Source organism: Homo sapiens, chromosome 11, assembly GCF_000001405.40.
Source record: "Homo sapiens chromosome 11, GRCh38.p14 Primary Assembly".
Taxonomy (NCBI): Eukaryota; Metazoa; Chordata; class Mammalia; order Primates; family Hominidae; genus Homo; species Homo sapiens.
The window spans coordinates 61,448,110-61,464,747 of record NC_000011.10 but is presented as its reverse complement, the minus strand read 5'-3'; the positions used below and the strand labels follow the sequence as shown (position 1 = coordinate 61,464,747).

Sequence of the window (16,638 nt, the reverse complement as noted above, 5' to 3'; positions counted from 1 at the left end):
AACATGGCGAAACCCCGTTTCTACTAACAATACAAAAAAAATTAGCTGGGCGTGGTGGCATGCACCTGTAGTCCCAGCTACTTGGGAGGCTGAGGCAGGAGAATTGCTTGAACGTGGGAGGCAGAGGTTGCAGTGAGCCAAGATCGGGCCACTGCACTCTAGCCTGGGCGACAGAGTGAAACCGTCTCAAAAAAATAAAAATAAAATAAATAAATAAATGATGGGGCTGAGGCAGTGGCTCATGTCTGTAATCCCAGCACTTTGGGAGCTCAGGGAGGAAGGATCCCTTGAACCCAGGAGTTTAAGGTCAGCCTGGGCCACATAGTGAGACCTTGTCTCTACAAAAAAACAAAAAGTAGCCAGTTGTGGTAGACTCTGCCTGTGGTCCCAACTACATGGGAGGTGGAGGTGGGAGGATCACTTGAGCCCAGGAGCTGGAGGCTCAGTGAGCTATGACCATGCCACTGCACTCCGGCCTAGGTGACATAGTGAGACCCTATAAGAAGAGCAGGGCAGGGAAGAAGGGCAGGGCAGGGAAGAAGGGCAGGGCAGGGCAGGGGGGAAGGGAAGAGGGAAGGGAAGGGAAGGGAAGAGGGAAGGGAAAAGGGAAGGGAAGAGAAGGGGAGGGAAGGGAAAAGGGAAGGGAAGAGAAGGGGAGGGAAGGGAAGAGGGGAGGGAAGGGAAGGGAAGGGAAGGGAAGGGAAGAGAGCCAAGAAGAGGAGAGAGGAGAGGGAAGAGGGGAAGGAAGGGGAGGGGAGGGGAGGGGAGGGAAGGGAAGGGAAGGGAAGGGTAGGGAAGGGAAGGGAAGGGAAGGGGAGAAGGAAAGGAGAGAGGAGAGGAGAAAGACAAATCATGGACTGAGTAGAAATATTTCCAAACACATGTGCAAAGGACTGGTATGTAAGATATACACAGAACAACCACAGCTGGACGCAGTGGCTCGCACCTGTGATCCCAGCACTTTGGGAGACAGAGGCAGGCAGACTGCTTGAGCTCTAGGGGTTTGAGACCAGTCTGGGCAACATGGCAAAACCTGGTGATATGGTTTGAATTTGTGTCCCCACCCAAATCTCCTGTTGAATTGTAATCCCCAGTGTTGGAGGAAGTGATTGGATCATGGGGGTGGATTTCCCCCTTGCTATTCTTGTGATAGTGAGTTCTCATGAGATCTGGTTGTTTAAAGGTATGTAGCACCTCCTCCTTCACTGGCCATGTAAGACGTGCCTGCTTCCCCTTCACTTTCTGCCCTGATGGTAAGTTTCCTGAGGCCTCCCAAGCCATGCTTCCTGTACAGCTTGCAGAACTGTAAGTCAATTAAACCTCCTTTTTTTTTTTTTTTTTTTTTGAGACGCAGTCTCACTCTGTCACCAGGCTGGAGTGCAGTGGCGTGATCTCGGCTCACTGCAACCTCCACCTCCCAGGTTCGAGTGATTCTCCTGCCTCAGCCTCCCGAGTAGCTGGGACTACAGGTGTGTGCCACCACGCCTGGGTAATTTTTGTATTTTTAGTAGAGACGGGGTTTCACCATGTTGGCCAGGATGGTCTCAATCTCTTGACCTTGTGATCCGCCCGCCTTGGCCTCCCAAGGTGCTGGGATTAAGGGTGTGAGTCACTGCACCCGGCCTAAACCTCTTTTCTTTATAAATTATCCAGTCTCAGGCTGGGCACAGTGGCTCATGCCTGTAATCCCAACACTTTGGGAGGCCTAGGCGGGCCGATCACCTGAGGTCGGGAGTTCGAGACCAGCCTGACCAACATGGAGAAACCCCGTCTCTACTACAAATACAAAAATTACCTGGGCATGGTGGCGCATGCCTGTAATCTCAGCTACCCGGGAGGCTGAGGCAGGAGAACTGCTTGAACCTAGGAGGCGGAGGTTGCGGTGAGCCGAGATCACGCCATTGCACTCCAGCCTGGGCAACAAGGGCAAAACTCCATCCCTAAATAAATAAATAAATAAATAACCCAGTCTGAGGTAGTTATTTATAGCAACATGAGAACAGACTAATACACCCCTTCTCTACAAAAAAAAAAAAAAATGACAACAGGCTGGGCACGGTGGCTCATGCCTGTAATCTTGGCACTTTGGGAGGCGAATGCAGGAGGATCACTTGAGCTCAGGAGTTTGAGACCAGCCTGGGCAATATAAGGAGACCTCATTTCTACAAAAATTAAAGAATGAGGCAGGTGTGTTGGCGCATGCCTGTAGTCCTAGTACTTGGGAGGCTGAGGTGGGAGGATCACTTGAGCCTAGGAAGTTGAGGCTGCAGTGAGTTGTGATTGCACCACTGCACTCTAGCCTGGACAACAGAGCGAGACCCTGTCTCAAAAAAAGAAAAAAAAATGACTACAATCAAAATTTTTTTTTTTTGAGATGGAGTCTCACTCTGTTGCCCAGGCTGGAGTGCAGTGGCGAAATCTCGGCTCACTGCAAGCTCCGACTCCCAGGTTCATGCCATTCTCCTGCCTCAGCCTCCCACGTAGCTGGGACTACAGGTACCTGCCACCACGCCCGGCTAATTTTTTTGTATTTTTAGTAGAGACGGGGTTTCACCATGTTGGCCAGGCTGATCTCAAACTCCTGACCTCAAGTGATCCGCCTGCCTCAGCCTCTCAAAGTGCTGGAATTACAAGCATGAGCCACTGCGCCTGGCCCAATTTCTCCATTTCAATAAGAGTCTGGTATAAGCCTTTCAAAACTCAGCAAACATACACTTAAGATTTTTGTGAATTTCACTGTATGTAAATTTTACAGCAAAAGAATAAACTTTAAATATTGAATTCTAGTTAATAACATACATTGTGAAGCTTTTAGCAAGAGTGCTCTGATGTCTATAATTTGCTTTGAAATGTACCAAAAAGGAGATGAATAAATGGGTGGAGAGAGGGATGGAAAGATAAACTGATATGTGAAGAGCCCAGCAGAGTAAAAAATTAAGAGTAGGCCGGTGCAGTGGCCCATGCCTGTAATCTCAGCACTTTAAGAGGCAGAGATAGGCGGATCGGTTGAGCCCAGGGGTTCGAGACCAGCCTGGGCAACATGGTAAAACCCCGCGTGTGGTGGTGCATGCCTGTAGTCCCAGCTATTTGGGAGGCTGAGATGGGAGGATCACTCGAGCCCAGGAGGTTGAGGCTACAATGAGCTGTGATCACCAGCCTCGGCAACAGAGTGAGACCCTGTCTCAAAAAAAAAAGTTAAAGGTAGAAACTAGGTGGAGGCTATACCAGTGCTCACTGTAAAACTCTTCCAACTTTAGCTGTATGTTTGAATTTTTTTATAGTAAAATGTTAAAAAAAAAAAGTAACATTGAATGTATTTGTTTTTAGAGTTTTAATTTTGGCAAGAGACACTATTGATGAGATTTTTTCATTTACAGTTGTCATATAGTTTCCTTTTAAAAGTAATTCATTTAAATAAAAAAGGGGCTCTATTTAAGAAAAGAGACTAAGTAAATATCAGAATAAATGGTCACAGATCCCACAGTGCTCATGAAGGTAATGAGTGAACAGGCTAAGTCTGGGAGGATGAGTAGGGTGTTGGGAACAACGCAATCTCTAGGGCAACCTGGGTTTAAATTTCAGCCCTGCTGCCTCCTAGCGGTGTGACCTTGGACAAGCCTCATGTAGGAAATGGGATGATATAATCTCCGAAGGGAGGTTTGTGAGTATGAATGAGAGAACCCAGGGAGAGTGTAGTTTGGAGGCCTCAGTAAGCGGCACCTCCCTCGCACTGAGGGGAGAAAGGCAGAGGACATTCCCATCTGGGAAAACAGTTTGAAGAATACAACTGGAGCAGGGAGTATATGTGTGTGCACTGGGGCTAGGCAGTGGGAGAGAGTCAAAGAAGGCCCACCAGATTGAATGGGGAGTAAGGAAGCAGAGAGAGCCAGTACTGAGCACCCACACAGTTACTTAGGATGGCCAACTATTTCTGCTTCTCCAGGACATCCTCCTCATGAGAAATGTAATGCCCGCCCTCAGTGGGGGTGGATGGATCTTGGAGCCCCAGGCTCCAGGACTATGTGATGCAGCTTCTATTTCCTGGAGCACGCCTGGGTTTGGGAGTTTGCTTCTTTTAACATCCCAGGTCTTCCAGAGGCCTGGGCAGAGAACCAAGAACTCTCCACTTTGCACAAGAGAGACAGATCTAATTCATTAAAACTCTTCTCCCCAGCCACAGGGCATCCAGCCACCTGGAAAGCTGGCACTAATCCTTCAGGCACACTGAACTTGGGAGGGGAAAAAAAATCTCTCATCACAGCGGGAGGCCCAGGAGGCCTCTGACTCCTGCACCCGTACAGCTCTCACTGTTAGAAAGGTTTACTCTGAGTTCTGAAATCAGATGGATCCATCAATTGATTTTATTTTTACTTTTTTTTTTTGAGATGGAGCCTCACTCTGTTGCCTGCCCAGGCTGGAGTGTAGTGGTGCAATCTTGACTTACTGCAACCTCTGCCTCCCAGGTTCAAGCCATTCTCCTGCCTCAGCCTCCCCAGTAGCTGGGACTACAGGCATATACCACCATGCCCGGCTTTTTGTATTTTTAGTAGAGACGTGGTTTCACCATGTTGGCCAGGCTGGTCTCGAACCCCTGGCCTGAAGCAATCTGCCCGCCTTGGCCTCCCGAAGTGCTGGGATTACAGGCATGAACCATACTCGTTTCTTAAATAATTAGGAGCACCCTCTATATGCCAAGGGCTATGCTAGGCACCAGGATATAAAGTGAACAAAAGAAAGATCTAGTCCTTGTCTTCATGGGGCTTAAAATTCTCGTGGGGAGATAAGCATCCATGGGAGAACCACCATATGGATTTAAAATGGAGGCCGGGGCTGGGCGCGGTGGTTCACACCCATAATCCCAGCACTTTGGGAGGCCGAAGTGGGTGGATCACGAGGTCAGGAGATCGAGATCATCCTGGCTAACACGGTGAAACTCCATCTCTACTAAAAATACAAAAAATTAGTTGGGCGTGGTGGCGGGCGACTGTAGTCCCAGCTATTTGGGAGGCTGAGGCAGGAGAATGGCATGCACCCGGGAGGCGGAGCTTGCAGTGAGCCGAGATCGTGCCACTGCACTCCAGCCTGGGTGACAGAGCAAGACTCCATCTCAAAAAAAAAAAAAAAAAAAATGGAAGCCGGGTGTGGTGGCTCACATCTGTAATCCCAGCACTTTGGGAAGCCGAGGCAGGTGGATCGCCTGAGCTCAGGAGTGTGAGACCACCCTAGGCAACATGGTGAAATCCTGTCTCTACTAAAATACAAAAAATTAGCTGGGCGTGGTTGTGGCATCTGTAGTCCTAGCTACTTGGGAGGCTGAGGCACGAGAATCGCTTGAGCCTGGGAGGCGGAGGTTGCAGTGAGCCGAGATTGCACCACTGCACTCCAGCCTGGGTGACAGAGCCAGACTCCATCTCAAAAGTAAATAAATAAATAAATAAACAAACAAATAAATAAATAAAATGGAGAAGTTAGGCCGGGTGCGGTAGCTCATGCCTATAAGCCTGGCATTTTGGGAGGCCAAGGTAGGAGGATCGGTTGAGCCCAGGAGTTCAAGACCAGCCTGGGCAACATAGTGAGACCTCTATCTCTACAAATAAAAAAATAAATAAATTAGCCTACTTGGGAGGCTGAGGTGGGAGGATCCCTTGAGTCTGGGAAGTCAAGGTTGCAGTGGGCCACTGTAGGTCGTGTTAAGAATTTTCATTTTCTTAACAGCAATGAGCAGCCATAGAAGGGTTTTAAGGAAGTGGAAGACATGTTCAGACCAGCGTATTGAAATACATGTGACTCTTGAACAGTAAGTTTGAACTGCATGCGTCCACTTATATACCAATTTTTCTTTTGTTTTTTTAGAGACACGGTCTCATTCTGTTGCACAGGCTGGGGTGCAGGGGTGTGATTATTGCTCACTGCAGGCTCAACCCATGGGGCTCAAGCAATCTGCTCACCTCAGCTTCCCAAGTAGCTGGGACCACAGGTGTGTGCCACCATGCCTAGCTCTTTTTTTTTTTTTTTTTTTTTTTTGAGACGGAGTCTCACTCTGACACCCAGGCTGCAGTGCAGTGGCATGATCTTGGCTCACTGCAAGCTCCGCCTCCCAGGTTCACGCCATTCTCCTGCCTCAGCCTCCTGAGTAGCTGGGACTACAGGCTCCCGCCACCACACCCAGCTAATTTTTTTTTTTTTTTTTTTAGTAAAGATGGGGTTTCACCGTGTTAGCCAGGATGGTCTCGATCTCCTGACCTCGTGATCCGCCCGCCTCGGCCTCCCAAAGTGCTGGGATTACAGGCGTGAGCCAACGCGCCTGGCCTTTTTTTTTTTTTTTTTGAGACAGAGTCTGCTCTATTTATTGCCCAGGCTGGAGTGCAATGGCGCGATCTCAGCTCACTGCAACCTCTGGCTCCTGAGTTCAAGCAATTCTCCTGCCTCAGCCTCCCGAGTAGCTAAGATTACAGGTGCATGCCACCATGCCTGGCTAATTTGTTGTATTTTTAGTAGAAACAGGGTTTCACCATGTTAGCCAGGATGGTCTCAAACTCCTGACCTCAGGTGATCCGCCCACCTCAGCCTCCCAAAGTGCTGGGATTACAGCCGTGAGCCACGGCAGCCGGCCATGCCTAGCTAATTTTTTAAAAAATATTTTTTGTAGAGACAGGGTCTCTCCATGTTGTCCAAGCTGATCTTGAACTCCTGGAATCAAGCAATCCTCCCACCTCAGCCTCCCAAAGTGCTCGGACTACAGGTGTGAGCCACTGCATCTGGCCCTATATACAGATTTTCTTTCACCTCTGTCAGCCCTGAGCTCCCATCTCGGCCTCCCAAAGTGCTGGGATTACAGATGTGAACGACTGTGGCTGGCTTATACACAGATTTTCTTCCACCTCTGTCACCCCTGAGACAATAAAACCAACCCATCCTCTTCCTCCACCTCCTCAGCCCACTCAATGTGAAGACAACAAAGATGAAGACTTTTATGATGATCCACTTCCACTTAATGAATAGTAAATGTATTTTTTCTTCTTTATGATGTTTTTAAGAGACAGAGTCTGACTCTGTTGTCTAGGCTGGAGTGCACTGGTGTGATCACAGCTCACTGTAGCCTCGACCTCCTGCCCCAGATCCCCAGTAGCTGGGACTACAAGGTGTGCCACCACACTTGGCTAATTTTTAACATTTTTTTTTTGTAGAGCTGGGGTCTCATGTTGTCCAGACTGGTCTCCAACTCCTGCCTTAGCCTCCCAAAGCTAATTACAGGTGTGAGATGCTGTGCCTGGCCTGATTTTCTTAATAGTATTTCTTTTCTCTAGCTAACTCTAAGAATACAGTATATAATACATATAACATAAAATACATGTTAATCGACTATGTTCTCAGTAAGGCTTCTGGTCAATAGTAGGCTATTAGTAAAGTTTTTGGAGAATCAAAAGGTATATGCAGATTTTCGACTATGCAGGGGTTGGCGCCCCAACTCCTGTGTTGTTCAAGGGTTAACTGCACACTCATTTGGGAGCTGCAGGCAAAGAACAGATTTGAGGGAATGCCAGATGATGAAGGCAGATCAGATGGCCATACCCATTGTCCATCAGAGAGATGAGAGTAGCTTTCACCACAGTGATGGTGCTAGAGATGGGAAGAAGTGATGGATTCAAGAACTATTTTGAAGCTAAGTCAACAGGCCTTGGATGATGGCCATGGAGGGAGAAGGAGCAGCTTAGGACAATTCCCAGCTTGAGCAACTGGATGACTGGTGATGCCATTCACTGAGGCTCTCAAGATGAGGGAGTTTTTGGTGAGTAGAACAGGGAGGGAGGGTAGCCTGGCTGAGTTTGAAGGGTTTTTCAGCCTCCTTCAAAGGAGGAGTCAAGTTGGCAGTTAGATATGCAAGCTGGAGCTTAGAGGAAGATGTGAGAACTGTCCACACATAGGTGGTGATGGGTACCCCGGTATGGGTGAGATCACTAGAGAGAGTATCCAGAGGAGAGAGGAGGCTCCTAGAAGAGCACTGTGAAGAACTACAAACAGAATGACTGGGAAGAGGACGGCGTGCCTCACAGAGGCAGAAGCATGGCTGGAGAGGCAGAAGGAAACAGAATCATGAAAATCAAGGGAAGGGGAGGTGTCCATAATTGGTTAGAGGCAAAGATAAAACTTCAATAAAGCCTGTTGGATTAGCAACATGGAAGTCACAGGTGACTTTAGTGAGAGATGCTTTCATAGCATAACGAGGTGGAAACATGGATAGATTAATATAAAGAATAAGTGAGATTTTAAGAAAGTAGAGACAAGTATAGTCAACCCCTTGAAGAAGCTGGATTACAAAGGGGAGGAAAGGAAAAGAAGAGTCAGCCGAGCGCGGTGGCTCACGCCTGTAATCCCAGCACTTTAGAAGGCCAAGGCAGGTGGATCACTTGAGGTCAGGAGTTTGAGACCAGCCTGGCCAACATGGTGAAACCCCGTCTCTACTAAAAATACAAAAATTAGCTGGGCGTGGTGGCACACGCCTGTAGTCCCAGCTACTCAGGAGGCTGGGGCAGGAAAATCGCTTGAACCCAGGAGGCGGAGGTTGCAGTGAGCCAAGATTGCACCACTGCACTCCAACCTGGGCAACACAGTGAGACTCTGTCTCAAAAAAAAAAAAAAAAAAAAAAAAGAAAGAAAGAAAAAGGAGAGTCACTGGACTTGACAAAGAAGCCAGGGCTTGGGAGTAGGATTGAGCCGAGTGGGACAGATGAGCATACAGGAGGCAGGCTGCTACTGACAGTGCAGAGCAAGGTAAGGGCAGAAGCCAAAGTTCCTGTGTCACAGAAGAATGGGTGTGCAGATGTGGGAAGGCAAGGGAGCTCCTCTCTGAGGGCTTCAATGTCCTCTGATGGAAGTCAGTGAGGTCGTCTGAGAATGGAGAGAAGGAAAAGTCACAGGTTTGAGTAATGGGTGGGAGGTTTGACCCAGTCATTGTGGAACATGAAAGAGCAGATTGGCCAAAGACATACAGCATGTGCAAAGGCCCTGCAGCAGGAGGAATTCTGCAAAGGGTGAGGTTGAAAGACTGACCATCTTAGAGGCTGGAGCACAGAAACTGAGTGCCTGGCCAAGATGAGGTCTGATATACTGAGATGTGCCAGCGATATCCTATGAGCCTGCTACACTGAGAGGTGCTAGGTGCTAATCAGGATCGAATAGACAATGATGAGGAAATGAATAAAGCATGAAATCCCCCTTGACTTAACACAGTAAAGGCTTCTCATTCACAAGCAGTTTGCAAGAGATTAGGTGGCCCTCCTCCTTCGTGTGCCACATTGTCTGGACGTGTGGTCTCTGGGATGTCTGCAGCAGGGTAACAGTGGGCTGCAACCACTCAAGATGTTTCCAAGGGCCAGGCCTGGAAGTGGCTTTCATTGCTTTCACTCACACTCTCTCTGCCGGACTCAGTCGCATAGCACCAGCCTTGTTATCAGGGCAGCTCCTTCTTTTTTTTTTTGAAACGGAGTCTCGCTCTGTTGCCCAGGCTGGAGTGCAGTGGCACGATCTCAGCTCACTGCAACCTCTGCCTCCCGGGTTCAAGCAATTCTCCTGCCTCAGCCTCCCGAGTAGCTGGGATTACAGGCGTCCACCACCACATGTGGCTAATTTTTTACATTTTTGGTAGAGACGGGGTTTCACCATGTTGGCCGGGCTAGTCTAGAACTCCTGACCTCAAGTGATCTGTCCGCCTCGGCCTCCCAAAGTGCTGGGATTACAGATATTAGCCACCGCACCTGGCCCGGAGAGTCTGCTTCCCACATGCTCAGGGCATTTCCTGGATGCTATAGGAAATGGTCTTTCTATATGCTCAGGGAGATCAAATGGTGTGGCGGGTGGATACCATCATCTCTGCCACGATCCACCGTTCTGTTTGCCAAACCAAGTTTTTCTTTTCACTCAGGGAACACACCCTCTTCCCAAGGGACCCAAAGTCCTATCTAGTCCCGATATCTGGCTCAAAGCCCAGGGTCTCTGGTGATGTGCAGTAGTCACTTCTCATCCAATGTGGCTCTTCTCAGTCCAGTAAGCCATGACCAAAAAGACAAGCAAGTTGCTCCCCTAACCCTGTGCCACACAGTGGTGGAGCAGGGACAGGACTCAGGGGTACCCGTTCATTACACCCCGGTGCTGCTTGCCGGGAGACACTCTCCTTATCCACTCTCCACATTGGCCCTGGCTCTTCTCTCTGGGAGATTCCTCCTTTTCCATCATCCTCTCTGGCTACAGCTGAAATGAGAGTGGCAGAGCCTGCCCTCTCTGGGGGCTGAGCACCGTCCCTCCTGCTCATGGATGATTGGAGGCCCAAAGGTTGTTTTATAGCTGGAACTGTCCAAAGGGCTGGCTCCCGGTTCCTTGGCAATACAATTCTTTACATAGTTAGTGTCTAACCTACTTGCCCTGGTCAGCTTTGTGGGCCAGTGGCCACGCTCACGCACGTGCCAAGTCTTTTCCTAGATCCAGTTCTTAGGTCTAATATGTTTTGCCTGTTCATCCTCCATGTCTCTCCCTTTCTACTCAATGGCTAGCTTGAGGCTATTTGGAACAATAAATAGGAGGCCCACCTTTAACCTGATGCTTGTCCTGAGTAACTGCATCCAAGAGAAAAGTTTTACCAGGCTTTTCTTGCCCAGATGAGTCTTATATCTCATCTCTTCCTATTTGGGGTGTAGCAGATTTTCCAACCCTGAAAGACCGTGGGTTTCTGTACTTTATTTCCTTTCATTACTGCTCAAACACCAGGTAATCCTCGCCTGAGCTCATCCCTTCCTTATAAATCCTCAACAAATACAGCCTACAGTAGCCAAGAGAGATGACAAGTTTTCTGCTTTCCAACTGCGTTGCCTTTGGCTGTCAGCCTGGAAAGCACATGGGATACCCTCCCAAGCTACAGTGGGCTGTAGTTTTATCAAACATTTTGCTAATGCATAACACAGACCTCCAACTTTCCAAGGGTCCTATATCAGTTTGTTTGCTAAGTGCTAAGCCACTGTCACCATAGGTGAGTAACTCAGTCCCTCTGGGCCTGTTTCCTCTTTGGCAAAATGAAGACAACAATACAAGCAACTTCATCAGACTGCTATGGAATTCAGCAGGACAAGCCATGTATGGTGTTAGCCTAATGTCTGCTCTGGAATAAGTGCTCAGTAAATGTTATTGCTGCTGTTCAAATAGATCAGTAGGAATCATGTGTGTTCATAGGCGATTGCTATACTAAGTTCACAAGAATCTGATCTATACTAAGCAGCTGCCTTTTTAAAAATTCAAGGGCCGGGCACGGTGGCCCACGCCTGTAATCCCAGCACTTTGAGAGGCCGAAGCGGGTGGTAAAGTCAGGAGTTTGAGACCAGCCTGGCCAACATGGTGACACCCCATCTCTATTAAAAATACAAAAATTAGCCGGGCGTGGAGGTGCATGCCTGTAATCCCAGCTACTCAGGAGGCTGAGGCCGGAGAATCACTTGAATCCATGAGGCAGAGGTTGCAGTGAGCCGAGATCACACCATTGCACTCTAGCCTGGGCAATAAACAGAGCAGACTCCATCTCAAAAAACAAAACAAAACAAAACAAAAAAACAAATGAGAGATTGACCCATCCAAGGGACAGGATGCTCATTCATGCTGGCCAGTCAGTGATTTTTCTCCCTATAAAGCAAATCTACATGGACAAGCCCTGTTGCCATCTGTATCTGTTATCAATTGCTACAATAATGCTGCATAACAAATGACCCCAAAACTTGATAACTTAAAATAATAAGCATTTCCTTAGCTTAAAAGTCTGCGGGTTCACAATTTGGACTGGGCTTGGCCGGGTAATTCTTCTGGTCTTGACTGGGCTCACTTAACTGTCAGCTGACTTTGGCTGAGGCAACTGGGGTGACTGGGACACACATCTCATCCTCCAGAAGTCTACCATGGGCAGGTTCTCACGTGGTGGCAGGGGTACAAGAGCTAAAGGGGAAGTGCTTTCTAAGGCTGTGCTTGCTTCACAATGACTGATATCTCATTGACCAAAGCAATGAGTTGACCCCAGCGTCTGGGCAGAAAGCCCTAAAAGCTACATGGCAAACAGCATGGACACAGGGTAAGAATCTACCAGACAGACCTGGCTCAGTGGCTCATGCCTGTAATCCCAGTGCTTTGGGAGGCTGAGGTGAGAGGATCGCTTGAAGCCAGGAGTTCCAGACCAGTCTGGGCAACACAGCAAGACCCTGTCTCTACAAAACTTTTTTTTTTTTTTTTGAGACGGAGTCTCTCGCCCAGGCTGGAGTGCAATGGTATGATCTCGGCTCACTACAACCCCCGCCTCCCGGGTTCAAGGGATTCTCCTGCCTCAGCCTCCTGAGTAGCTGGGATTACAGGCACGTGCCACCACGCCCGGCTAATTTTTTGTATCTTTAGTAAAGACGGGGGTTTCACCATGTTGTCCAGGCTGGTTCGAACTACTGACCTCTTGATCTGCCCACCCCGGCCTCCCAAAGTGCTGGGATTACAGGCGTGAGCCACTGCACCTGGCCCAAAATAAACTTTTTTTAAAAAATTAGCTGGGTGTGGTGGCATGCGCCTGTAGTCCCAGCTTCTCAGGAGGCTGAGACAGGAGAATGCCTCGAGCCCAAGAGTCAATCACACCACTGCACCCCAGCCTGGGTGGCAGAGTGAGACCCTGTCTCTATAAAAAGGAAATCTACCAGACAATCGTAACTGATTGCTGAGGGTGAATTCAGAACAAAAGAAGTTATTTCTATATTAAAAGTAGGTGTCTCAGAGCTCAGTGGCCTGGTGTCCTCATCCCTGCTGTGAGGATAGACCTGGCATACAAGGCTAGATGTCCTGCTGCCTGCTCTCACAGGGTCAGTGCCTGAGGCCCATAGACAGATCCTTTCGTGCCTTCCATTCACTTATCCCTTCTTCAGAGGACCTCTGCGGCACGAGCTCCATCTCATTGATCTCCGCGTCTTCTGTGTCTGGCACTGGGTGTAGCACATTGTGCTATGCTAGTGCAGACAACTTCTGCTTGGCAATCAATGAAATAAAGCACCAAGAACAGTGAGCTCCTCAAGGACAGACAAGATGCATTCTTCTCTATCCCCAGCATTTAGTGAAGACCATGACAGTGTTTTTCCAATTAGCTTTCTCTTTTTTTTTTTTTTTTGAGACGCAGTTTCACTCGTTGCCCAGGCTGGAGTGCAATGGCGCGATCTCGGCTCACTGCAACCTCCACCTCTCGGGTTCTAGTGCTTCTCCTGCCTCAGCCTCCTTAGTAGCTGGGATTACAGGCACGTGCCACCACACCCGGCTAATTTTTTTTGTATTTTTAGTAGAGACGGGGTTTCACCATGTTGGCCAGGCTGATCTTGAACGCCTGACCTCAGATGATCCACTCACCTTGGACTCCCAAAGTGCTGGGATTACAGGCATGGGCCACTGCACCCGGTCTCCAGTTAGATTTCTAGGCATCACTTCTCCTATTTGGACCAAGACAACTACCTGTTTCTGCTTCTGCTGCAAACAGTATCTAATACACCATCTATGAAAACCTTCTCACTTCTGCATGACTCCGCTGAGATGGGAGCCCAGAGAAACAGGTGAGTGAGGGTCCTGCTCACAGAGGGCCTGGCCTCAGAGCCTTGGGCCTTAGGAGGAACCAGCACTAGTTTGTCAGCAAAGGCACTGGAGCCAGTGGGTGCGATAGAGGTTGTGCAACTCATCTTGGGACCCTGGAATGAGTTCTATGTGGGCTTCCTAACAGGCACATCCAACTCTCAGAGGCAGCCTCCCACTTGGATACAAAGGACAGCCAGTGATGGGACGGCCCAGAAAGCATAAGAGCTCATCTCTGCTGCTCAGGGTAAGGAGAAAACGCTTGAAGCTGGGTAGAACTTGAGCCCTTCCCTCTGGCTCCCCTCCAAATCCACAGGAAGTCTCTGAACTCCAAGCTCTCACCTGGAGAGCTAGGCTGCACATGTCCTCCTTGGAAGGCTCAGATGGTTAAGTCTAGAGCTGCTGAGGCTGTGACATATGAGTCATGGTCCCCAGGTCCTATAGGGAACCAAGAGAGGGTGGCCCAATCTGTGCAAAGTTGTCCACACCAGCAGTCTGCCATGGACCAAGACAAGATTCAGGATGAGAGGTCGTTAGAAGAGAGATGATGATGCTTTTCATGTTTTGAGGCAGGGTAGCACATGGTACCTAAGTGCAAGGGCCCTGGGGCCCACTGCCTGGCTTCAAACCCTAGCCCAACCGCTTCCTATCTGTGACTTTGAGCTAGCAACTTTATCTCACCGAGCCTCACTTTCCTCATCTCTAAGACGGGAATAATCATTGCACCTATCTCACGGTATTGTGGGATGAAATGACGTAAAGCACTCAGCAGCACTGGGTACACAACAAGCCGAACTATTAGATGTTACTACCAAGTATTACTGAGGGTACAGGGGCTGTACTAAGCTCTCCAGGGGCAGGACTTTATTCAGTCCTTATACCCACACTGTGAGGTCGGGTTCCTTTTCTTTCCTTTCCACAGATGAGAAACAGAAGCTTGGAGAGGTTAAATAATGTGTTTCAGGTCACCCAGCTAATCAATGGGAGCTCCAGGATTCTAGGTTAGGCCTGATTCCTAAACAGCTCCCCTTAACTACTCTGTTCTATTTCCCCTAAACACGTGTTCCAGGGCATCACCAGAGGAGAATATTTTATTAAATATTAGCCAAATCACCTGAATCCACTGAGAAACAGAATGTACATCTTAACGTTCTCACTTGCTGAAAGTTCCATGCTGTGATGTGTTGTTACAGAAAATGATATATCCACCCTCCCCCACTTTTTTCCTTTTATACTCTAATCTCATGACAGATTATACAATCCCCTTCTTAAAGAAACATTCTCCTTTTTGAAAGGAATATTTGGCACTTTGGGAGGCTGAGGCAGGCGGATCACATGAGGCCTGTAGTTCGAGACCAGTCTGTCCAACATGGTGAAACTCCGTCTCTACTAAAAACACAAAAATTGGCCAGGCATGGTAGCGTGCACCTGTAATCCCAGCTACTAGGGTGGCTGAGGCATGGAATCGCTTGAACCCAGGCAGAGCTTGCAGTGAGGGGAGATCCTGCCACTGCACTCCAGCCTGGGTGACAGTGAGACCCTGTCTCAAAAAAAAAAAAAAAAAAAGGAGTATCTGGGGTCTGAGATCCGGGATCCAACAAAAGGCTTTTAACTCTTCTTTTGCAGCTATAGGTGATGATAAATCTACCCATCTCCTTTAAAGACTGATGTTGTCCTGGATAGCTTAAACTTTCTACCACCCCTCTAACAAACTGCTAACAACACTTGTTTCTTAAGCCACAAAAAGTACTGCTGGCCTGAAGCCACCTATCCCACCAATGCCATCTTCCCTGACAGGAAAATTCGAACACCACTCCTCATTCCCAGAGGGTTCACTGGGAAACTGAGGTGTCAGGAGTTAGTTTCACTGGGTACTGATCAGTGTCATCAACTTGATAGCTGCGGGATGGTGAGTCCACTGTCCTCAGATACTACAGAACATACTATTAAGTGGGGCTGTCAGCTCAAAAATCTCACAGACCTGCTTGCCATCTACAGCTGTTTAGCTTATCATTAAACCTTCCTCTCTTTGTCTAGCCACAAATAGCTGCAGATGGACTGAAGGATAAATGAGAGACCCCAACTATCCCATCGGAATCTTTTCCCAGTGATGTTTAAAAATATGAACCAGGTCTGTATTGGTGCCACCCTGGCTGGAGCAGAAGACATACCAGATGACCTCCAGATAACACTCAAAGCCAGTAAGAGTGCTTCTACAATGACCCCCAAAAGACACACTCTGTCTAAGGCACAGAAAGCTCCAGCACAAGGTGTTTGGCTTATGGATTTTTAAGACTTAGGATGATTAAAAGGAAACGATGGAAAGAGAACAGCCTTTCCTGACCCAATTTAAGGTGTCACGTGGAGAGCCTGTGCAGGACTCACAAGACCACTTGAGTCGGTCAGGACAGGGCCAGACGCTCATATGCCCCACACAGGCTCTGAATGAGGTCAGTAAGCAGGGATGTGTCAAAGTAAAAGGAATGAGTCTAGCTTCTGTGCATTAGCGATCCTTCGGGGGCTGCTGGCCCTTGCTATATGTTTATTAATTCCTAAAAAAATGCACTGTGGCCGGCCTAGTTTTACTTAATGCCTAATAAAGGGAAAAACTGTTTACATAGCATCCCTGGGCCTGACAACTGAGCAGGTGAACTTAGCAAGATCCTTCACTTTCAAAGATGACACAATCCAGCAGCCTGGGAGGAAAACAATTCCTCTAGAAGCATGCCATTCCCAGGTGAAAGCGGCAGCAATTGAACATTGTGTTAAATAAGACAAAATCAGGATAAGAAGGGATCAAACCCGAGGGGGAGAAAAGTTCCAACTACATCCTTGGCTACTGGGGTTTGTTGCATAACGTGCAAAGGATAAATGGGTAAGTCACCGCCCAATTCATGTGCACTTCGTACAGTCCAGATCTATGTCTATATATAAACTCCCGGCCTGCTTAACATTCTCCCCAGGGTACATAAATGCAGCCCGAGAGAATAGCCAGAGTCTTCAGCAAGCTCCCAGGGA

General features: G+C 48.4%; 1 annotated feature.

Annotated features, from left to right (window-relative positions):
• Window positions 6,120–6,301: a silencer, noted in NCBI's record as "fragment chr11:61225919-61226100 (GRCh37/hg19 assembly coordinates)". NCBI's record gives its function as "represses an EF-1alpha promoter that drives an FKBP-Casp9 reporter gene in an ReSE screen in K562 erythroleukemia cells {active_cell/tissue: K562}" and the evidence as "EXISTENCE:reporter gene assay evidence [ECO:0000049][PMID:32094911]".